Raw genomic sequence first — 24,143 nt, 5'->3', positions numbered from 1 at the left:
CAGTTTCACCATGTTGGCCAGGCTAATATCAAACTTCTGGGCTCAAGCAATCTGCCTGCCCTGGCCTCCCAAAGTACTGGGATTAGAGGTGTGAGCCACGGCACCTGGGCCAACCCAGGATGTTTTGTTTCTCAATTTCTTTTTCTTTTTCTTTTTCTTTTTTGAGAAGGAGTCTTGCTCTGTCACCCAGGCTAGAGTGCAGTGGCATGATCTTGGCTTACTGCAAGCTCCGCCTCCCAGGTTCACCCCATTCTCCTGCCTCAGCCTCCCCAGTAGCTGGGACTGCAGGTGCCCGCCGCCATGCTGGGCTAATTTTTTGTATTTTTAGTAGAGTCGGGGTTTCACCGTGTTAGCCAGGATGGTCTCGATCTACTGACCTCGTGATCAAGTCAGGATCCTCAGCCTCAGCCTCCCAAAGTGCTGGGATTACAGGCGTGAGCCACCGCGCCCAGCCCTTGTTTCTCAATTTCTAACATGGAAATGTCCAGCTCCAGGAATACATGCTACACTTAAAAAATTATATTCTGCTACAACTGTCATTAGCTTTTGTATTACATCAAAAATGAAGAATCTGGAATACCATGGCTGACCATGTTTCATGTGCTAAGAGTGACCATGGCGAGTCTGAGTGCTCATTCAGGTTGTTTAAAAAAGAAAATCACCAGCCGGGCACGGTGGCTCAAGCCTGTAATCCTGGCACTTTGGGAGGCCGAGGTGGGCGGATCACCTGAGGTCAGGAGTTCGAGACCGGCCTGGCCAACAGTGAAACCCCATCTCTACTAAAAGTACAAAAATTAGCCAGGCATGCACCAGCACGCCTATAATCCCAGCTACTCAGGAAGCTGAGACAGGAGAATTGCTTGAACTCAGGAGGCGGAGCTTGCAGTGAGCCGAGATCATGCCACTGCACTCCGGCCTAGGTGACAGAGCGAGACTCCATCTCAAAAAAAAAAAAAAAAAAATCACCAATCAGGGGTGGAGGAGCTGGCAGCCTCGAAAGAAAAGAGGCTTCTCTACAGGGTCCCAAGATCTGGACTGGGCACCTACCCTGGCCTGCATTTTCTAGACTCTAGACTCATTTGCTTCACGTCCAAGTTGGGCCTTCACAAGGGAGTCAATGTTCACGTCATGCCTGCAGTTCTGTTGCAAGCAATGAACCTGGGATCCTGAAAGTTGACTTGAGAAGCCTGGGAAATCCTAGATTTCTATAGATGGCAGCACAACAGACAGAGCAAAAAGAACAGCTCCCATACATCTGATGACACTGAGGTTCTCACCGCCGCTCTTAAATGCTGTGGCAGAACAATGGTGTATAAAGCACTTCCATGTGCCGGGCATGGCTCTGAGTCCTCTACAAGGGAGACTGACTCTTCCGGACTTCACGACAACCTTGTGAAGTGGGGACTGTTATTCCCATTTTACAGACCAGAGCCTGTGATCACCAAGCTCCTGAGGGGCAGAGCCAGGGCTCAGCAAAGCAGCTGGCCCAGCGTCCATGCTCTTCGCCATTATGTTATTCTGTGTCTCAAAACTGCTCGCACGGCTTCCCCGTGCGGGCACTACTGTAAGTGCCTGACATGGGCTGGCAAGGGACAGACCTCACGACGCCCCTGCAAGTGGAGATCTGGGTGGTATATGCTGAGCACTGGAGAAAAGGTGGGCAGAGCCTGCCAAGCCCCACAGCAGGGCAGGGTCTGCCTGGATCCAGCTGTGAACCCCGACCTCTACCACAGCCTCTCACTGCCAACACACTCCAGGGCAGAGCACGGCAGTGCCTCCATGCAGGGGAACCAGTGAAAGGGTGCTGAATGCCACAGGGTGGCAGGGGCACAGCACCTGCAGCCGCTGGGGGTGACTCACCTTGTAGAGCTGGTGAAAGCCAAATGCAATGCCTGCCATGATGATGGCCAGGGCGCCGTAATCTCGCCATCGGGAGCCTGCGGGACCTACAGGCGGGAAGAGGAGGAGGGTTAGAAGACGCACATGGCGTCCTTCTTCGGGTGGGGGCTGGCACAGGTGCCTCAGTGGCACAGTCTCCTCGCCTCCAACAATGGGCAAGTGGAACACTCCAACGCAGGAAGGCAGCACATGATCATCACAACAGCAGCCGGCTCCACCCCTCCTGTTCCCACTGCCTCAACTGGGACACAAGGGATGCCAGTCACCCAACCCTGACTGCAGGCTGTGGGTGGAGGTATCTAGCAGTGAGCTGAGACCTGAGTTGGCAGTCAGGTGGCAGAGGTGATCTGAAGACCAACAGCATGGTCTCTACCTCAGGAACAAAAGATCCAGAGAGGATAACAGGAGTATGTTTAGGGGAGCATAAATATACCCATATATGCCCTACTATAGCTGGCGATAAGCTGGGGGCCACAGCAGAACCAAGCGGGGCCTCAGCGAAGTGGAGAGGGGGACCGTGGTACGCTGGGTGGGGGCACGGGGGTGGGCTGTGGTAAACTAGACCTCCCAGCCCTGCTCTCGCTTGGAGCCAGAGGAGAGAAAACACAAGTCTCCAAATGACTGAGCAAGGCTTCAGAGAATGAGAACGCCTATCAAAAGGGATGGGGGTGGCAGGGGAGAGGGGCTGGGGTCAGCAGGGCCTTGGAGGAGCCCTGAGGCCCTTGGGGGCTGGAGGGGAGCAAGCACAAAAGAGAGACGGTAGGTGGGTGTAGACCAGGTGAGCACCCTGGGCCTGACTAGAGAGGAGAGCTGCTCTGGCCCAGAGGACCCCAAGAGCAGGGTGCTGGGGAGAACGGAGAGGAGCCAAGGAAGCCGCAGGTACAGTGGGGGCTGGGGCGGGGCAGGAAAGAGGTAGACAGGTGGCACCAGGTGGACTGTGTGGTCAAGGAAGCCGAATATTCTTTCCTAAGCAATGGGAATTACTGGGGGATGTGAATCAGGGAGTGCCATGACCCTGGACAGCAGCACTGGGGAGGCTCTGAGGGTGGTCAGAAGTGGGGGCCGCAGAGGCAGAAGAGCTGGGGCGAGCCTGCTGCAAGGGTTCACGAGGTGGAGAGGGACTGGGACCAGCACAGAGGGCAAGAAGGGAGTGGGGCAATGTCTCAGGAGAACACATTGCTGCTGCTGTGAAGGGCAGCCAGTCTTCATGGAAGATCACCTGGCCCCGTTCTCTTCTCTTTATTTGTATTAAGTAATCTTTTTAGAGATGGGCTCTTGTTATGTTGCCCAGGCTGGAGTGCAGTGGCGATCCACAGGCATGTCCCACTGCTGATCAGAATGGGAGTTTTGACCGGCTCCATTTCTGACCTCCTTAGGCGACCTCGTGGTCCCCTGCTCCAGGAGGTCACCATATTGATGCAGAACTTAGTGCAGAACCCCGATCAGCACAGTGCCCCGTAGCCCGGAACTCCTGGACTCAAGGAATCCTCTCACCTCAGCCTCCCAAGCAGATGGACTACAGGCGAGCAGCACCGCGCCCGGCCGATTCTCTTTAGAACGGCACATAGCAAAGTGCCCTCCTGAATGCAATTCTACTTGACGTGGGGAGAGTTTCCACCTTCACTCTTTCCCATGCCCAGTTCACAAAGTGCTCCCACGTCCACAACCTCATCTGATCCTCCAAGGCACGCGGGAGAGCCCCGTCTCCACTGCGAACACCTTTCTGGAGCGGCCATCTCCAGGCCACGTGGCGGGTGCTCTGCCTCCCCCCGAAGGATCTGTCATCAGGAGGGGCGTGGGTGGGACACAGACCAGCGGGGAAGGCGATCACAGCACCAGTGGAGAGCTATCCGGAAGGCGCCCCCACAGTGTGCTGCTCATCTGGGAGAAAGGGGGAGAGGGAAAATCAGCAGCGTTCTGAACTCTGGGAAGGAACGTCACAACACGGCCGAGTGAAGCTGAAGGACTTGCTGCTTGAGAGACTTCTGCCCTCAGTTCTCACCTGTGCCTGTAAGTTTTCAGAGGTACCTTCCATGTCCTGGCGTTTTATGACCACAGGGGAGGAGAAGGCCCGTTCTTTCCTTCAGCTCAGGGCAGGATGTGGCATGAGGGGGAAGGGGCTGCTGGCACGCAGCCCCACCAGGCGGATCCAAGTCGCAAAGACCTCCGAGTGGGCAAGGAGACACCCCCTCCCCCAGGGCTGCTGAATGGCACTCTCAGGGGGCAGAGACGACAGGGCTGGAGGGGCCTGGAGTCCCTCCTTGGCCACCAAACTCCCTCCCTGCCTGCGGATTCCATGCGAGACTCCCCGGTGTGTCCTAGCCCTGGAATCTCGGTCCCAAAACTGTAATCAACATAGGGCCTCTCCCTCAGTCCCCAACTCCCATTTCTGTTTTACACTTTTTGAACAGGTAGCACGCATACAGTTTACTCATCGAATAGCACAGGGCAGTCTGTGAAAAAAGGCTTCCCCACCACCAACAGCCATTAGTAGTCTTACATTTATCCTTCCAGTGAGTCTGTGTGCACACCTAAGGTGGCACAGGATGTCTTCTCTTCCTTCACGTTTCCCCATCTCTCAATCTTGTTTTCTACAGCTGCAGGATATTCCACTTCACCTGCCCTCCGATGGGCACCCAGCTCATTTCCAACTTTCTACTACTGCACACCACGCTGCCATCAACAACGTGCACACGTGCCATCTCCCACATGGGGACACGCACCCTGTGAGCCTCAGAACCCCCAGAGGGTGGTCCCAGGGCGTGTGCATTTGCAGTTTTGAGAAATACTGCCACCCTGCCTCCATGGGGCCGATAATTCACCCTGAGCCGCTGCGCAATGCCTGCTTCCCCACGGCTGCGCCCACACAATGCACGATTCAAACGCAGAGATTCCTGCCAATACCACAGCAGGAAAACAGAAGTTCACTCTAGTTCTAATTTGCATTGATCTCATTTTGAGTGAGGATTGAGCATGTTTTCATCAGCATTTCCTTTTCGGTGTACTGTATGCTCTCCACTTTTCTACTTGATTTCTTTTCCCTTGTCACTTTAGAGAGACTTTTTATATAGCAGGGATATTAGCCCGCTGTCTGTGATCTGCATCGCAAACATCTTCTCTGGTTTATTTTTCTTTTGACTCTGCTAATGGTGTTTTGTCGCATGCAGAGGTTTTTATACAAATTTATCAATCTATTCTTTTATGGGTTCTGGGGTTTGTGTTATGGTTAGCAAGGACTTCCCCCACTCCCTTCCCAGGCTGTGCAGTGACACTCGGTGTCTAAGAAACTGCCATGGGAAGGGGACAGTGCTACTTCACTGATGGTGGACACCCCCACCCGACACAAATCACCTCTCGTTATACAGGGAGCTCTAAGAGCACTGAGGCAGACGGATCTTTCACCTCGACCCCAAGGAGCCGGGCACTTGGAGTCCTGGTCAGGTGTCTCTTCTGTCTCCCCTCTTCTAGCCAGCTTTGCTTGGCGCTCCAGATACAAAACCTGACATCTAGTGCAAGTCCATTTTCAGGAGGAAAAAGTGAAGACAGAGCAACCTGGCCACCCCGCTCTCTCAGAGTCCCTGCTCAGGAGGGCCTTCATCCATACCCGGAACATCCCTCCCTGCAGCCAAAATCCTCAGGCAGAACAAGTGCAGAACGGGGCCCACGGCCCGAATACCATATTCACCACTGATTTCTCAGACACCATGAAGCCTCTTGCAAGAAAGCAGCTGTGACTTGGCTGAAAGCTTGACCAGCACCTGGAGTTTGCTGGATTCCTCTGCTCACCCGCAAACATCCCGCCATGAGAAGGACAGCCTTCTCTGGGGCCCTCTGGGCTGTCAAGGCTGAGCAGACGCTGGCTGTGTGGGTTGAGGACCAGGACCCTCCCAATAGCTGCCTCACTTTCCAGAGTTCTGAGCTATTCCAGCCCCAAGAAACACCTGTGGTCCCTGCAGCCTCACCCTTCACCCCTCACCGCTCCTCATTCCTGCCATGCTCACGTTAAGAACATTTTATTGCCCCCTGGTTTTCATTATTAATGAAAAGGGACCAGAATGATCTTTCCTAAAGTTCAGAGAGTCTATAAAGACAAGAAGCTGAAATGCCATTTTACTCGTTTTGGAGATGTGTGATACAATTCTGTCTTGTGGCAAAATGAAAAAAGAGAAAAACTCGGATAGAGATGACTCCTACCCGCTGTGTGGCTCTCAGAGGGTAACAGACCAGGCTACTGCAAAAACATTAGCACAGTCCACACTAGCTCAAACTCCCAGCCACGACCACCTCAAGTCCTGCCCCTCCCCACCCTGGGGCCTATTTTTTCCAAGTCTGGTGCAGACCCCGCAAGGGAACTGAGAGCAGGGCGCCTGGGAACACACCTCCCCGCCACCAGGCTCCCTGAATGTCCGGAGGTATAAAGACAAGGGCAGGAGATGGGGCAGTCACTCTTCTCTAGCTGGGAAGAAAAGGAAGAGAATGAGTGGGCTTTTTAAATGCTTCGAGTCTCCACTCTGGAAGCAGGGACTGGCCTGCCATGCAGACAAGGCAGACAAGGTAGCAAGTGGGCAACAAGCCTGGGGTCAGAAACCCTCATGCCACCACCAGCCAGGGGGGTTCCAAGGACATTTTTCTCTTCTTATCAAGCACTGACTGAAGGTGGCAGGGCTTTGTGAGCCCCAAAGAATCCAAGAACAGGCGATATCTTCACTCTCACTCAGAGCCCAGCTGTCTAAGGACCGGCGCCCTAGCTGCGTGGCAGGGGTTCCTCACCAGTACCAAAGCCCTGGCATCTCTGTGAAGGCTGAAGAGACGGGCATCTGTGGTGGCAATCCTCATCCTGCACACCTGGGCCTTCCTGGACTGCCTCTACGCTGTGGCGCTGTGGGCTGCAATGAGGTCAGGGGATAAACTGCTATAGAGCAAAGGGCATGGAGCTCTTCAAAACCCAACCTTCCAAGGACTCCACGAACTAGCTTAAGCTCTGCCCGGCTCCATGGAGGTCAGCCTGCGCAAAGGCTCCAGTTTGGGTAAAACCATGGTAGAGCGGGGGCAGGAGAGGTGCATCCCCACAGCTCCTAACTATTCACTGAACACCAACAAAACCAACATGACTCTGTTTCTTTATACCTCCACCAACCAAATTCTCACCTAACAGGTGAGAACAAACATCATCAACTAAGAACACATGCACAGGACTAGGACTTGTGCATACAACACGGCAATGTTGAGCCTGAAACCTTGCTGAGCAAGTCACAGACCGATCCACACCATGGAAATCCTGCAATCCAGTAAAGGTTCATCGGCAACACAGAGCTGAGAGCTGTCACGGAACCATCCTGCCGAGACAACAGGCACTCCAGTGATGTGCTGGCTGACAAGAGGGAGAGAACTCTCACGTCCTTGGGGAGGCTGGCAGCCCAAGCATGGGCAAGGCAGTGGTAGAAACGGGGCCAGCCCATTGAGGTCGCCTCCAGGCTCATCAGGGTTGGAGCCATGTCTCTATACAGCAGTGTCTCTAGCTTCTCACATCAGCCCATCAGCTTCGCTCAGAAGCCACCCTGAAAATTAAATGACAAGACAGGCTCACTCCCAGTAAGGTCCTGGAATAAAGCCAGCCCACCAAATCAGTGCTTGCTACAGCACAGAGGTGGAGAGCACAAGTGCAGAGAGACGGGGACCTGGCTGGGCTGAGAAGGGCTGGCTATAGCTTGGGGGCGGGGTGGGCCCTGAAGCACATGGCTGTGGATGGCTGGCAGTGGGCAGAAAGACAGGCCCAGAGAGCAGCAACAGAAACAGATCGTCTCTGCTCTGAACAGAAGGACTTGGCAGCCTGGATGGCAAAAGGCACCACAGTAGCCCAACAGTAGTCCTGTTGGAAAATGCAAAGCCTGTATTTACACGTACATCCCATGAAAGACAATCTTTTCCACTTTTCATGGGCTACAATGCCATTAGCAGTGTCATCTTTAGGCAGGAAGGACACCGAGAGGCATATCTATATCCCCTGTCCATAGATTAAAAAATATGAGCTCTAATTAAGCTGTTAAGAATTCAGAAGAGTCCAGAAATAGACCCATGCTTACATGGTCAACTGATTTTTGATAGAGGCCAAGGTAGCTCTATGGGGAAAGGATAATTTTTGCAACAGCCATGCTGAACAACTGGATATCCATAGGAAAAAAAAATGAACCTTGACTCTCACCTTATACCATACACAAAAATTAACTCAAAATGGGTCACACCTAAACAAGAAAGCAAAAACTATAAAACTTCTATAAGAAATCAGAAAACATAGAAGAAAATCTTTGCAACCTTGGGGTAAACAAAAACATCTTAAGATATAAGAAGCATGAACCAAAAAGGAAAAAACTGATCAAATGGACACCATCAAAATTTAAAGCTTTTGCTTTTCAAAAGGCACTGTCAAGAAAATGAAGAGACAAGCCATAGGCTGGGAGAAAATATCTGCCAAGCATATATCTGACAAAGCACTTGTAACTAGAATACATAAAGAGCTCTGACAATTCAATAATAATAAAAAGACAAAGTGGCTTTTAAAATGGGCATAAGATTGGAAGAGACTCTGTACAAAAGATATACGAATGGCCAATAAGTACATGAAAATATGCTTGATGTCATTAGCCATTAGGGAAATCCAAATTAAAAGTACTATACAATAAGGTTCCATTACATACACATTAGAATGGCTAAACTCAAAAATGAGACTATCGGGTGTTGACAAAGATATGGAGCAACTGAAACTCTTACATATTGCTGATGGGAACACAAACGCTACAACCATTTTGGGAAATAGTTTGACAGTTTCTTTTAAAGTTAAACATGGACCTAACATGTGACTAAGCCATTCCACTCCTAGGAAATGAAAGTATAAGTGCACATAAAGATTTATACATGAATGTTCACAGCAGCTTTACTCATAATAGCCCCAAACTGGGAGCAAGCCAGATGACTACCAACTGGTCAACAGATAAAGAAATTGCGGTACATGGAGCAACAGAAGTTGGCACTATAGCCAGTTGGCCAATCCTACTTTAGCCTATTTTTATGTAGCCATGAGCTAAGAATGGCTATTAATTTTTTTTTTATTTCGGTGGGGGGACAGAGTCTTGCTCTGTCACCCAGGCTGGAGTGCAGTGGCGCAATCTCAGCTCACTGCAACCTGTACCTCCTGGGTTCAAGTGATTCTCCTGCCTCAGCCTCCCAAGTAGCTGGAACTACAGGCATGCCACCAGGCTCAGCTAATTTTTATATTTTTAGTACAGACAGGGTTTCACCATGCTGGCCAGGCATGGTGACCTCAAACTCCTGACCTCAAACTCCTGACCTCAAGTGATCCACCCAACTCACATCCCAAAGTGCTGGGATTACAGGCGTGAGCAACCGCACCCAGCCTGGTTATTAAATTTTTAAAGAATTGTGGTCATGGGAAAGGGAGAAGAAGAACAGGAAGAGGAAGAAGGAGGAGAAAGAAGAGAGGATGAAGGGAGAAGAGAAAAAGGTGAGAAGGAAAACATGTGACAGAGATATGTGGCTCACAAAGTCTAAAATATACCCATTTAAAGAAAAAGTCCAGGCAGTGGCTCATGCCTGTAATCCCAGCACTTTGGGAGGCCAAGGCGGACGGATCACCTGAGGTCAGGAGTTCAGGAGTTCGAGACCAGCCTGACCAACATGGAGAAACCTCGTCTCTACTGAAAATACAAAATTATCCAGGCGTGGTAGCGCATGCCTATAATCCCAGCTACTCGGGAGGCTGAGGCAGGAGAATCACTTGAACCCACCCGGGAGGCAGAGGTTACAGTGAGCCAAGATCACGCCATTGCACTCCAGCCTGGGCAACAAGAGTGAAACTCCATCTCAAAAAAAAAAGAAAAACGAAAAAGAAAGCCCACTGATCTCTGGAATACAACTCAGTAATGAAAAAGAATGATATCTCTCTCTCTCTGTGTATATATATATGTGTGTGTGTGTGTGTGTGTGTGTGTATATATATATATATATGTAAAGTTATATATATTTGTGTATAATATATATAAATATATAATAAATATACTCTGGGCAACAGAGTGAGATGGTGTCTCCAAAAAACTAACACTATAAAACTTCCTAGAAGACAATATAGGAGAAAGTCTCTTCAACCTTGGGGTAGACAAAGGCTTCTTAGGATGCAAAAACCATGAATCACAATCATGATATAGACATAAACAGTTCATTCCTTTTATATGTATTTTCCAAATATATATTACATATATTTACATATAATATAGAAATGCATATATAAATTATATATGAATAAAATTATATGTATTTATATAAATATGTATTTATATATCAATACATATATATGTATATAAAAACATGAATCAATCTCAAAACCATTATGTTACGGTAAAGAAACCAGACACAGAAGTCTACATACTATATGGTTCCATTTATACAAAATGTTTTATTTTTATTTATTTATTTATTTTTTGAGATGGAGCTTCGTTCGGTCACCCAGGCTGGAGTACAATGGTGCAATCTCAACTCACTGCAACCTCCGCCTCCCGGGTTCATGGGATTCTCCTGCCTCATCCTCTCGAGTAGCTGGGATTACAGGCGCCCGCCACCACGGCCAGCTAATTTTTGTACGTTTAGTAGAGACAGGGTTTCACCATGTTGGCCAGGCTGGTCTCGAACTCCTGACCTCAGGTGATCCGCCCTCCTCAGCCTCCCAAAGTGCTGGAATTACAGGCATGAGCCACTGCACCTGTTCTATAAGAAATGTTTGAAAAGGCACAAGGAACTACAGTGACAGAGCAGAGATTGGTGGTTAACAGAAACCAGAGGCAGGGGAAAAGGACGACATAAAGGGCACAAAGCAACTTTCTGGGGTGATAGAAATTTTCTATATTGTGATTGTAGTGTTGGTTACAGGAGTTAAATGAGTTACAACTTGTTTGTACAACTCATTGAATTGTATACTTAAAATTGATGTATCTTATTGTATGTAAATTATACTTACAAAAAGCTAATTAGAAAGAAAAGAATTAAGAAGGATCCAGAAACATAAAACTACCACATCCAGCAATTCCACTCCTAGATATCTACCCAAGAGGAATGAAAACGTATGTCCACACAGAACTTGCACAGAAATGTTCTTTGCAGCATTATTCATCTTCACCAAAATTGGAGACAATCTAAATGTCCATCGACTGCTGAACTGATGGACAAAATGAGGTACAACCAGACAACAGAATACTATTCCATGATAAAATGGAATGAATTACTGATACATGCTACAATATGGATGAACCTCAAAAACATCAGGTTAAGTGAAAGAGGCCAGGTACAAGAGATCACATATTCTGATTCCATTTACCTGAAATGTCCAGAAAAGGGGACATTTATAGTGATGAAAAGGAGATTAGTGGTTGCCTGGGGCTAGAGGTGGGAAGAGGGATTAACAGTAAATGGGCCCAAAGGATCTTGCAGGGGAGGTGAAGTACTCTAAAGCTGATTTATGGTGACAGCTGCATCACTCGGTAAAGTTACTAAAAATCATTGAATTGTATAGTTGAAATGGATGAGTTGTATGACATATAAAGTATACTTCGATAGCTTTGTTTTTTTTTTTATTTTTTTTTAAAAGAGGAATCTAGAAACAGACCCATTCATATATAGTCAGTTGATTTTTTTTTTTTCTTTTTTTTTTTGAGACGGAGTCTCGCTGTTGTCACCCAGGCTGGAATGCAGTGGCACAATCTCAGCTCACTGCAACCTCCACCTCCCAGGTTCAAGCCATTCTCCTGCCTCAGCCTCCTGAGTAGCTGGGATTACAGGCACCTGCCACCACACCCAGCTAATTTTTGTACTTTTAGTAGAGACCGGGTTTCACCATGTTGGCCAGGCTGGTCTCGAACTCCTGAGCTCAGGCAATCCGCCCACCTTGGCCTCCCAAAGTGCTGGGATTACAGATGTGAGCCACCAAGCCTGGCTGTGAGTTGATTTTTTATAGACATGTAACTCAATGCGGATAAGATAATCTTTTGAACATAAGGTATAGGCACAACTGGATATCCTTATGGGGAGAAACGAACCTTGACCTTCACCTCACACCATTCACGAAAATTAACTAAGAATAGATCACAGACCTAAACATAAAAACTAACGCTATAAACTGGGTGCAGTGGCTCATGCCTGGGCAACATGGTGAAAACCCATCTCTCCACAAAATACAATAATTAGCCAGGTGTGGTGGCACACACCTGTAGTCCCCACTACTTGGGAGGCTGAAGCAGGAGGATCACTTGAGCCCGTGAGGTAGAGGTTGCAGTGAGCCAACATCAGGCCATTGCATTCCAGCCTGGGTGACAGAGTGAGACAGTGTCTCCTAGAAGACAATATAGGAGAAAGTCTCTTCAACCTTGGAATAGACAAAGTCTTCTTTAGGATGCAAAACCATGAATCATAAAAGGAAAAAAAGATAAATATATGTCATCAAAATTAAAATTGTGTGCTCTTCAAAAGGTAATGTTAGGAAAATAAAAAGGCAAGCCACCAACTGGGAGGAAATACTCATAATACATGTATCTGACCAACAACTTGAATCCAGAATACATTAAAAACCTCATTCAACTCAGTAAGAAGACTGTTAATAATGGGCAAAATACTGAAACACACTCTTCACAAGAAAGATATGCAAGTGGACAATAAACACACAAAGAGAGGTTCAACCTAATCAGTCATCAAAGAAATATAAACCCAAACCACCATGAGATACCAGCATATACACACTAAAACTGCTAAAATTAAAAAGACTGAGAAGACCAACTGTTGGGGATATGTAGCAACTAGAACTCTCAAACATTGCTGGTGGGAAGGTAAAATGATGCAACCACTCCAGAAAACAGTTTAGCAGCTTCTTATAAAGTTAAACATACACTTAACATATAAACCAACAATTCTACTTCTAGGCGCTCACCCAAGAGAAATAAAAACATACAAAGACTTGTATACGAATGTTCACAAAAGTTTTATTCGTAATAGCTCAAAGCTGGAAACAACCCAAAGTCCATCAACTGGTGAATGGATAAACAAACTGTGGTGCATCCCTACAATGGAATACCACCCACCCAATGGTAAAAAGGAAAAGGCTTCGGATGCGCACAGCAATTTGGGTGAATCTCGGCAACACTACGCTGAGCGGAAAGAAAAAAAATAGAAACAAGAGAGTACAATACTGTATGATTCTATTTATATTAAAAAAAGAAAAAAAACTCTAGGAAAGAAATCTAATAGGTAGTAATAGAAAGCAGATCAGTGGTTGCCCTCAAGCCAGGATCAAGGAGGGTGGATTGACTGGAAATGGGACCCAAGGGAACCTTTCAGGGTATTGGAAATGTTCTGTCATGTAGTGATGGTTATATGGAAATGTACACTTATCAAAACTCAAATTGTACAATTAAAATGGGTGTATTTTATTTTACGTAAATTACATCTCAATAAGACTTTTAAAAAATAAAAAATCCATTCAGAATTTTTTTTAAAAAAGAGCTACAGGAAGTCAGGAGTGCTTGGGAACACTACCCAGTGGTGTAGGCTCTAAGTTTTCTCTCTGCACAGCTTGCAGCTGGGACCAAGAGAAGAAGCCAGACCTGAGAATTCTAATGCAACTTTAAAAAACATACCCTGTAATATTTGACACATACAAAAGAATATAACATTTATTTAAGTTATAAGAACAGGAATACAATGAGCAATTCTAAACCTGCCTAATTTACTAGCTAGAACTTTCCAAATACCACTGAAGCTAGCCATGTGTTCCTCCCCAGCCCAGAGGCAACCATTATCCTAAACCCAGTATTTATCAGAACTCAAACCTCCTATGGGATATGGAAAGCTGAGGACATGTGCTGACGAGATCAGGACTACATCTCAGCCTCACTCGCAGGCAAGGATAGCCATGCAAGATCCAGCCAATGGGGAGAAAGTGGAAGGGACATGGGCAATTTCCAAGAGGTGTCCTTAGAAGGCAGCCTGCCCTTTTCCCGCTTTCTCCCCGCTCTCGCTGGCTGGACAGCAGGTGGGATAGTTGGAGCTGAAGCATTCACACTGCACCACGAGACGGATGAGAGCCAGTCAGGAATGCAGAGCAGTGAGGCAGAGTAGGGTTCCTGCAGACCACAGAGCCTCCTGGCAGCCTGGGCTGCCTACATTTATGTAATAGAGAAAAATTCCTCTCTCTTTAAGCCACTCTTGTTTGGAGTTCTCTGTCACCTGTAGCAGAATTTTCTAAAACTAACACACTGTCAGCACAGCCAGAATCCTAACTGCCATCAACACCAAAGACTTGTAATGGTCCAAGAAACCTAAGGAAAGGATCACTTCATTTCGGTTCCTTCCCGTGATACTTACCCTCTTCAACATCCGCGAATGGCATTTATTCAGCCCCCATGTGGCACCACACCAGGCAGAACACACAGCAACAAAATGGAGAGGGTGCTTGCTAATCCAAACCGGCACCACGGACAAAAGAAAACACAATTTCCTCAAAATTAAAGAAATACTTTCTTCATATACAAACCAGTAACTTTCAGGTAGCAAAAAGAGAGATTTGTCTGCTAAACCAGCAGAGAAAGAAATGGAAGCATGAGAGAGAAATGGAAGAGACAGAGAGAGAGGTGGAGGCGACATTTGCTATTTTGCTTTCTGACGGGAACCCCGAGGCCACCCATGCATGCTTTCTGTTTACTGTCACCTCAGTATCACTTACGCACAGGCCACCCTGGCCCCGGGCCTTTGCTGTTCCCTCTCCACAGTGATGTCTTCCTTGACACCTTGGGTCTACCTTATGGCTGACTGATCTTCAAAGCCAGTTCAAGTCCTGCCCCTTCTAGAAAGCCTTGCCTAAGACTAGCGTTCTGGGAATTTCCTTTGTTCTCAAATTCTGAAAGCTCTCAACATTCTCACCATGCAAGGTGACGTGGGATGGTCTTCCCTGTCTTTCTCCAAGCAATGGAGGGCTTCCCTCTACGATGAACAGCAGCTCCTGAAGGTGGGTCCCATCCCCTACTTCTTCCATAGCTTGCCCAGAGCAGTCTGCACCAGCTGGGCTCACAGACCGTATCACCGACCGACCACCAGGGCAGCTCGTCCACATGATAGCCCTTCCATTCTCAAGCACATTTCCACCCCTGTTAATCCATTCCACAAGCATTTCTAGAACACCTGCTCAGTCAGAGCCTCAGGCCACTAGATTTTTTTAAGCCTCAGAACTCACAGTTTAATAGGGGAGACACTGGAATAAATGTTTAAGTGCAGTGGGGCGGGGTGGGGAGTCTAGGGGCCTGAGGGGAGCTTCCCTCCAAGTCAGAATGGAGGCACTGGAAAGACTCCCTGGAGGAGCGAGTGCTGGCCCAACCATGGAGAACAACAGTGAGCACACAGGGTAGGCACTACAGGCTCGGCACAAGAACAATGGCCTCCGGCTGATGCCCCCCCACCCATGTCTCCCCTAACTAACCTCATGGCACCTGCTGAGATGATACAAATAATTTTAATATTAATCTAAGAATAAAATGGCCAAATAGGTCGTATGGCACAAAAATAATTAGATGATGCATTTCAAAGTAAAACATCACTGTGCTTTTGGCTGTCCTCTGTCGGAGCTGACAGAGCCACCCTTTCTCCAGCCATTTCCTCTGACTCTCATCCCATGCTCCAGCCACTCTGAACAACTCAGAGTTTCTTTCTTTTTGGTTTTTTAGAGGCAGGGCCTTGCTCTGGAGCCCAGGCTGGAGTGCAGGGGTACAACCATGGTTCACTGCAGACTCGATCTCCTGGGCTCAAGCAATCCTCCCACCTCAGCCTCCCAAGTACACGCACCACCATGCCTGGCTAGTTTTGTTTTTTAAATTTTTTTACAGAGATGGCATCTCACTATGTTGCCCAGGCTGGTCTTGAACTCCTAGCTTCAAAGTGCTCCTCCTGTCTCAGCCTCTCAAAGAGTTGGGATTACAGGCGCCACGTCCAACAACCTGGAGTTTCTTAAATTCATCAGTTTCACATCTATATGCTTTTGTGTTAGCCTGGAATGCTCTTGTCTATCCTGTCTGATCACTGAACCAAGCAGCCCGCCACATCCAGTTAGACATCTGCTCTCTGAAGCTTCCCGTCGCCTCTTCTGTGCCACCGTCCTCACCGGGACCACCTGACAGGCACTGCTATGTTGGCCTAACCGTCTTTCCTACCAGACGGGAGCAACCAGAGAGAGCGACCAGGTCTTGTTAGTCTCTTTAGCCCAGGGGTCTGGCACACAGTAGGCATTCAATAACAATGCTTGCTCAGTGAATTAAGATAACCACAGATAAGTTTGTGTTACTACACAGGGCTACAAAAGAAATAAACAGAGGAATAACTCACTCTCTCTCAGGATTTCTAATCAAATGGTTCAAAACCTTTCACCGGCCTCAGATGCTGACATCCTATTTTGAGAAGAAGCAACTGAAGCTCTAGGTCAGTCTTTGAAGGGGTTTAAATTGTTTATCAAAGACAGTGGAGGGAAAATGTTCAAATCTAAGAAGAAATTATTATCCTACAAAATTTACACTGGTCCTGCTTATATCTCAAAGCTTCTTGGTCTCTCTGGGAGGACGAAGACAAATCAGCTTGGCGTGAATCAATCAACCAGCATTTATCAGACCTCTGCTCAGGACTGGGCTAGGCCTGCACCTATACACATGCACTGACTCCCGATGTAAAGCCAGACAAGAAACCAAAATGAGAAATGGAGAATTTCAAATCTTCTCTCGAATCACAGCCTGACTTCTCCTGAACTGTACCAACTTTCTTCTAGCCCCCGAGAGCACTGGTTTATGCTCACACCAGGTGACACCAAGCTTCCCCTTGGTGCCAACCTCCTATCACTTTCACAAAAGCCTTCCCTGACTCTAGCCCACATTAATTCTTCTCTTTTCTATATTTCAGAATTTCAGAATTTCTTGTCTGTATAATTAATTTTGGCATTAAATCACAACATCTTATATTATTATCCTTTTCTTAAGAGTTTATCTTATCTTTCCCAAAGAGCTTAGCAAGATGCTTAAAGATCAGGTTTTGGATCTCTCGCATGATATAGTACTGACCGTATAGTAGATGGTTAATAAAAATACTGAGAAATTGAACTGTTACTATTTGGGCAGGTCTCTACGTTCTCTCTGCCAACACTGGCATTTGCTAACATCTCAAGGTCAACCACATTCACCAAAGAACAGAGATGCCAAAAGAGGCACTCAGTGGCACACCTGCCACTGAGCAGGTGGGCCAGCAGGTTCAAAGGTGAAGAGCACTGGGCTCCCTGGGGTGGTCTTGGAAAAGCTACCCTACCCTGAGACCTGAGTGTTTGGGGCTAGGCCCAGGGGATCCCATTTTCTAGCCTTGGGCTCAGAGATGGAATGTCCGTAAAAAGCCAAGAAATGGGAAGGAAAAGGCTGCCGGGGATCTAGATGTAAAATCGGCAGGAACACACATGAATAGAGGCCATAAATCCCTCCCGACGCAGACAATGCCTCAGTGATAAGCATGCAGATTGTGCACCTAGTTCAGAAACTCCCCTGAGTTTGCTTGTAATTAAGGGGGTTAGAAAAGTAAAAAAATATATAAACCCAATTAATCATTTAAATATTTAAAGTCAGATTTTTCCCTCACTCCAGGATTAGTATATTTCATAATGCCAGCAGCAGACAGCCCTGGTTTTTACTGGGGTTCATTTTGGAGCATGTTTAAACTAGTCAGATTGAGTGATGCTTCCAGCAACTAATCGCATGTCAAATAAAAGATATTTTATGTAATAAATTACCGCTACAAGTAATTCAAATGTCATTTATCAGTTTTATTATCAGTCAGGCAAAGTCTTGTTTCTCTATATTAATCAAAATCAAGCTTTTTTTTTTTTTAAGCAGTTTTGACACCTCTTGGCAAAAGTACAGAAGTGAAGAGGTAGAGTCACCCCCGGAGTGAGAGGAGCAATGTAACGGTATGAGAAGAATGAAGCTCAATGATGACAACTAAAAACTTCAGGTATTTAAAATTATCATTACCATTGTTTTTACACTAGTGTCAAAGCAGGAAGAAGTCTGTGTCTAAGAATGTGTATTTTATTTTTAGGGGCTGGAAGGCTCTTAAAAATATTCCTACCTAAATACCTCAACGTGTATTGCTTTTTCTCAGAGCGATCTGGACATGAGTATGATTTAAATAACTGAATTGCCCCTCCCCACCCCATTCTTTTGCCTCTTTCAGAAAGACTAACAGTTTAACCCTTTGTGTCTATGGAAAGTAGGTGAACATATGATGTTTTAGGCCAACTCTGTGATCAACCAGAACAATTTGTTCTGAGTAAGAAGTTTCCAAGTAGCCGAGAGACCTGTTCGGTATTAAGCCACTGGAGGAAACAGCTGGAACAGAACAGATGTGCATCTTAGAAAATTCTGCACCCCAGCTGCCGCTGCCTATCCTCAACAAATCCCATTACACGGCTGGGCCCAGGGACACAACTAAAGAAAAAGTGTGGAGACTCAGCCTTTGGTTAAAAAGAAGCACATAAAGTCAGCTTAGGACCCAAAGCAACTACAATGGATTGGAAAAAATGCTGGCCAGGAAGGAGAAAGGAGCCCCAAGCTGACAAGTCACAGGTGCTAACCCAGTAGCCCAAATACAGGACAAGGCTCACCACTGAAGCTCTGCAACCTGCAGTGGGTCACCCATGCAAGGCACTGACAGATTGACACACTTGAGCACACACTCCCTGGCCTCCCCCATTCAGCCTTCTGTGGACAGCCAAAGGAGGAGATCTCTAAATAAGATCCGTAACACAGACAGCAGATTCCAACCCACTGGCTGGCCCTTCAGCAAGTCCGGAGAAGAGAAGGCCTTTTTGGCTCTACTGCCAAGATCACACCTGCCTAGCTGCAGCTGAGCTGGATGAAAACAGTGCTGAGGTGAGGGAAAGAAGGCAGCTTCAGACCAGGTGCTGGGGGATCAAAACGAATCTGTCATTTTAAAATATGCCTTTTAAAATCTGATATCTAACACTTTTTTTTTTTTTTTTTTTTTTGAGACAGAGTCTTGCTCTTGTCACCCAAGCTGGAGTGCAATGGCATGATCTCAGCTCATTGCAACCTCCACCTCCTCGGTTCAAGCGATTCTCCTGCCTCAGCCTCCTGAGTAGCTGGGATTACAAGCACCCGCCACCATGCCCAGCTAATTTTTGTATTTTTATTAGAGACAGGGTTTTGCCACATTGGCCAGGCTGGTCTCCAACTCCTGACCTCAAGTGATCCGCCCGCCTTGGCCTCCCAAAGTGCTGGGATTACAGGCGTGAGCCACCGCGCCCGGCCTGTCTGTTTTTTTGAGATGGAGTTTTGCTCTTGTTGCCCAGGGTGGTCTCGAACTCCTGACCTCATGATCCACCCGCCTCGGCCTCCCAAAGTGCTGGGATTACAGGCGGGAGCCACTGCGCCCGGCCTTAAAATCTGATATCTAACAGTTTTAAATCATTTTTTGCAAAAATAAAACTTCTGAGAATAACAATTATAGAAAAGGCATTTTGAGAGATCACAGATCCAGTATTGAGTTTCTTTATTTTATTTTATTTTTTTTGAGACAGAGTCTCACTCTGTCACCTAGGCTGGAGTGCAGCGGCGTGATCTCGGCTCACTGCAACTTCCACCTCCTGGGTTTAAGTGATTCTCCTGCCTCAGCCCCCTAAGGAGCTGGGATTACAGGCGTGTGCCACCACGCCCGGCTAATTTTTTGTATTTTTAGTAGAGACACGGTTTCACCACGTTGGCCAGGCTGGTCTCGAACTCCTGACCTCAAGTGATCCGCCTGCCTTGGCCTCTCAAAGTGTTGGGATTACAGATGTGAGCCACTGCACCCTGCCTGTTTGTTTTTTTGAGGCAGAGTTTCGCTCTTGTTGCCCAGTCTGGAGTGCAGTGGCACGATCTCGGCTCACTGCAACCTCCACCTCCCGGGTTCAAGCAATTCTCCTTCCTCAGCCTCCTGAGTAGCAGGGATTACAGGCGCCTGCCACCACATCTGGCTAATTTTTTGTATTTTTAGTAGAGACAGGGTTTCATCATGTTGGCCGGGCTGGTCTCGAACTCCTGACCTCAGGTGATCCACCCGCCTCAGCCTCCCAAAGTGCAGGGATTAGAGGCGTGAGCCAACGTGCCCGGCCCAATGCTGAGTTTCATTAAAGAAACAAAATGGAGCTATTTTCCATAACTTTGTAGTCAATTTTAGCCTTTTTAAACTTTTTATAAGTGATTTCAAGGAGGGCTTCTGGCTGCATTTTGGAGGTATGCATTTATAACTTGTTTGAAGAAACTTTATTCCTATAGTAGCTTTCATTTAAGACAACGAAAGACCCCTCATGGGTCATGATCTCGTATAATTAAAAGAAACATTCAAAAAGGAACTTCATGTTTTAACCTGAAATTCCCTAACAGACCGCTACTACATAAACGTACAAAGTATAGCCAGGACAAGGGAGGGAGGGAAATGGAGGCTGACCTAAACTTACAAATATTAACTTAAAAAAATAGAAGTGGGAGACAGGTTATTGCAGTGAGCAAACAAGAATGCACCCATGAGTCAGATGGTCACGCTGTTTTTAGTGAAACAGTAACATTCAAAAGCACTGGTATGAGGAGATGGGAACAGAATCAATAAATAGTTGTACAGGTTTTCTGCATGTAACCAAAATACCTGAAACAACAATAAAATCATTTATTCTGATCCCTTGTCTCTTCTTAAACCTTTGTCACATACTTTAAAAAGTTTGTCTAGAAGACTGGGGTGTGTCACATTCCTTGGGAAAAACCCAAGAGCTTTCTGCTGCTCCCAGTTTCTCCTGGTTTGCTAAGTCTGGGAGATACAGAACACTGCCCTTTGGCCAGAGTCCTGAATCCCAATCAAGGTTAAGCAGGAGTTTGAGCGGGTGACTTACTGTATGGCTGAGATATGAGGTGAGGGGGCTGGACAGGAACCACCTGTGTGGCTGGGCCCAAGGACGAAGGCTCATCGGCAGCAGTGCCCGACTGCTGGAAGGCCATATCAATCTCTTCATCTGTCAGCCCTGGGGAGAAGAGGACATCATTGCAGGTGAGTACCTTTTGTCAGTGTCCATAGCTGCAACAGAATCTTCACTGAGCAAAGACCTTTACAGCCACAGAATGCCTCGCATCCTAGTAAGTTGCCTCCCCGATTTCAGATTCTCCGGAACCTCTCTCAGTTGCAATTTAACCTTAAGCGACAGAATATTAGCCTCAACACTGCTTCCAAATGTGGCTCATTCAATTTCCTTAATTTATCCTTGAGTTTATTGCTGCTTTTGAAGTCGCTCGGTACTGCAATTCTCCATTCTTCCCCCGAAAACAGATACCATCAACTGCAAATGTGGCTCATTTTAATCTGTAATGGTGTTAAAAAAAAAAGAGGGGAAAAAACTAACAATAATGCACGAAAACAGACAGGGAAACAAAAAACTAATTATTGGGTGAGACGACTAATTAGTCTAGATCGTTTCTGAAGACGGGAATAATTTGCTTTATTTTATGACAAATGCAGAAATAAAAAGAAAAATCAGGACTGACTGTGATTAGTATGAATGGGATATAGAATGTAAAGAAGAAAATAAAACAAGAAAACAGATCAAAACAAGGCCAGGCCCAAACTTTCAGATGATTATTATTCTAGCCTATCACACGCTGCCTGTATCGCCTTTGGCTAGTTTTTCTTTTCCCTTCTTGAAATCCTCCCGACACTCTAAACCACACCATACATGGGACATCAGGAAGTGGCAGGGCGCCATCTGCAGTGGCTATGCCATGTGGAGAGGATTTGCCCACAGAAGAATAAAAGGCAAATGAAAACCCATGAAGGCCGCATTTCCAGTGGGGACACAGCTGGGATATTTCCACCGGGTCTGAGCCAATTTGGGACACTGACTCTTGGGAGGAGGAAGAGAGCCCCATCCAACCCAAAGAACAGAATGAAATGTGGCGCTCAAGTATGAAAGGAGCGGTCACACGGGGCCAGCTCAGGAAGTAGCTGTGTGTACAAAGGCACTCCAGCTGCTGAGAGTGGGAAAAGCAGGTGGGAGGTCACTGTTAGTCTGCAAAAGACCACTCGGCCAGCCCTTGCTGTTCCAGGAATCCCAACATCCAAGCGAGCCGCAACACAGAGCTTTTAAACTACAGCCGAGAGCTTTTCCACATCTGGTCGGCAGCTCTCCATTAGAGGCCCACAGCATGGTATATTTGCCCCTGGGGGTAGATGAAGTACAAGGAGGTTCTGAGGATCAGCATCTTCAAAAGGATGGTGCCTCATACTCCATGCCTAGGGGCTAATAGATGGTGCACATTAATGCTTTAAAGCACAGCTCCGCCCTGCACCATACTGGCATATGAGTTGACTGCAGCCACCCCTCAAACTTTTCATGCCCTACCACAGCTAGTCAAAGGAAAATGCCCGAACTTTTCTAAACAGCCCTGGACTCTTTTTTCCCTTCTCTGTGCTGAGGAGTTGAGGACTATCCCCATTTAAAACTGCAGCTGTTCCCCTCTTTACCCTCTTCACACAGTGGAGCTGGCCAAGGGCAGGCACAGCCTCACCACTGGGAAGTCTGAAGAGCCACCGGGTTGCCCTGATAGCACCATGCTCTCAACAGATTGGTGGGCTGGATGAAAATGCTTCCAGGGTTCACAGCGCATCACGTACCACCTTCCAAAGACAAAAGCTGAAGGTCAGTAGAGTGGAGCTAGAGAGGGGGTGCTTGCTGCAAAGGGACTGCTTTACCCATAATTTCACCTTCCAAGAAGAACAGGGACAGGACCAACAGGCAAGCCAGGCAACAACAGAGAATACCCCCGCCCTGAGTTTGTGCCTCTCAGGTTCCAGCCTGTGTAGTGACTGCCGATCGCTCCGACTAAACAGGAAGGGGAACCCCTTTCGGAGCCCTGGTGGGAAAGACATTGTTTTAACCAGTTCATAATCAGCCATTAGAGAAGAAAGCAGCATCTGCGATGTCAGCACAGGCTGATGGTCACTGGTACACTACGGAATTTTATAAACCTGGTGGTTCGTGTGCCTTGTCAGCCGCTGGCTGCAAATGAAGATAATTTTCCCAAAAGGAGCATTCAGTTGCATTCTCATTTTCCCTTTTGGCTCTTTCAAATATAAACAAGTACAATAATGTTTAACACTGGGGAAATATACAGTAAGTTACAGACTGTGCTGTGGCCCTGAGGGCCGGAGCTGGTTAAAGGGACAGGACGCCCTGCCCGCAGTTCTGCCCTCTGGCCCTGAGCTTTTATGAAGCCTATTTTCCTAATAAAACATGTTCCTTGCATTATCGCAGCCGAGCCCACTAGTGAGGCCACAGTTGAAAGGGCATCAGTACTTCCTTCCAAGCTCTTGTTTTTCACAGACGTTATCATTTGAGGCTCAAAATTTATATTGGCTGAAATTCTGATATCCCTGGTTCTCTGGGAGAGGCAGGATTTTGATTTAGTTACAGTAAATGAATCCTTTCTCTTCTTTTTAAAAGTAAGCGTTTTAACAATCTCACTGAATCACATTCAGAGCCGGGCCATTATCCCAGTCACTGCCCTCATTTAACAGATAAGAAACCTGAGGCCCAAGGAGGGTAGAAACGATGCCCCACATCCTACTTGTAGAGAGTGGTGATGTGATGGGCACTCAAGGCTCTCCCTCTTCAGCCCAGTGACTCTCCACTACACCAGAGTTACAAAACATCAAATGGCAGACTCAAACTATGTCCTAGGTCTTCAGACTTGTTAAAGAGCTTGGGAGAAGGACTACATTTTCTTCTCCCTACCCCGCCACTCTCATCTACAGGAAGGAGCCAGTGAATATTGTTTTGGGGCTACATTGAAACAATACAGGAACTTAACCCCTGGCTCCTATCTGTAAATGACGCCTGGACAACTTTTTGAACAATACTAGAGAGAAAAAGGTAGAATGTCCTCATCTTGTTCTCGTTCTAATATTCTAACCCGAAATCAAGTCCAAATGCCTGTCATAGGCTTCCTTGAGTGTCATCTTCCTCTGGAATGTCCCCACCTTAGGCAGAACTGGCCAGCTTTAAGACTGCATTTACAGGACTCAGGTGATTCATTTGGAACTTAGGGAGACTGAGTGGGAACACCCACCTGTCT

General features: G+C 47.0%; 1 protein-coding gene and 1 pseudogene across 10 annotated transcripts in view, besides 5 other annotated features; both read right to left on the bottom strand.

Moving 5' to 3' along the window:
- Positions 1-24,143, bottom strand: part of PEX14 (peroxisomal biogenesis factor 14) — a 155,809-nt gene that overhangs the window by 10,481 nt on the left and 121,185 nt on the right. For 7 of the 10 annotated variants that reach the window (XM_047422544.1, XM_047422545.1, XM_047422543.1 and 4 more), the window contains 2 exons: positions 20,912-21,040; positions 1,861-1,946 (listed from right to left, as the gene is read on the bottom strand). In XM_047422544.1, coding sequence (XP_047278500.1) covers positions 1,861-1,946; positions 20,912-21,040 — 215 coding nt within the window. The remainder of the gene's footprint in view (positions 1-1,860; positions 1,947-20,911; positions 21,041-24,143) is intronic. The other 3 variants (XM_047422546.1, XM_011541580.2, XM_011541579.4) reach the window with 1 other exon arrangement.
- Positions 1,325-1,879: an enhancer, noted in NCBI's record as "H3K27ac-H3K4me1 hESC enhancer chr1:10678456-10679010 (GRCh37/hg19 assembly coordinates)". NCBI's record gives its function as "activates a minimal SCP1, AML or CMV promoter by ChIP-STARR-seq in naive H9 embryonic stem cells {active_cell/tissue: H9 hESC(naive)}" and the evidence as "EXISTENCE:reporter gene assay evidence [ECO:0000049][PMID:30033119]".
- Positions 3,163-3,442, bottom strand: RN7SL614P (RNA, 7SL, cytoplasmic 614, pseudogene; annotated as a pseudogene).
- Positions 3,377-4,060: an enhancer, noted in NCBI's record as "H3K4me1 hESC enhancer chr1:10676275-10676958 (GRCh37/hg19 assembly coordinates)". NCBI's record gives its function as "activates a minimal SCP1, AML or CMV promoter by ChIP-STARR-seq in primed H9 embryonic stem cells {active_cell/tissue: H9 hESC(primed)}" and the evidence as "EXISTENCE:reporter gene assay evidence [ECO:0000049][PMID:30033119]".
- Positions 4,061-4,746: an enhancer, noted in NCBI's record as "H3K27ac-H3K4me1 hESC enhancer chr1:10675589-10676274 (GRCh37/hg19 assembly coordinates)". NCBI's record gives its function as "activates a minimal SCP1, AML or CMV promoter by ChIP-STARR-seq in primed H9 embryonic stem cells {active_cell/tissue: H9 hESC(primed)}" and the evidence as "EXISTENCE:reporter gene assay evidence [ECO:0000049][PMID:30033119]".
- Positions 16,763-17,262: an enhancer, noted in NCBI's record as "H3K4me1 hESC enhancer chr1:10663073-10663572 (GRCh37/hg19 assembly coordinates)". NCBI's record gives its function as "activates a minimal SCP1, AML or CMV promoter by ChIP-STARR-seq in primed H9 embryonic stem cells {active_cell/tissue: H9 hESC(primed)}" and the evidence as "EXISTENCE:reporter gene assay evidence [ECO:0000049][PMID:30033119]".
- Positions 17,263-17,764: an enhancer, noted in NCBI's record as "H3K4me1 hESC enhancer chr1:10662571-10663072 (GRCh37/hg19 assembly coordinates)". NCBI's record gives its function as "activates a minimal SCP1, AML or CMV promoter by ChIP-STARR-seq in primed H9 embryonic stem cells {active_cell/tissue: H9 hESC(primed)}" and the evidence as "EXISTENCE:reporter gene assay evidence [ECO:0000049][PMID:30033119]".

Source organism: Homo sapiens, chromosome 1 (genome assembly GCF_000001405.40).
Source record: "Homo sapiens chromosome 1, GRCh38.p14 Primary Assembly".
Lineage (NCBI taxonomy): Eukaryota > Metazoa > Chordata > Mammalia > Primates > Hominidae > Homo > Homo sapiens.
The sequence above is the reverse complement of the archived record's forward strand: the minus strand, read 5'-3'. Positions and strand labels throughout refer to the sequence as shown.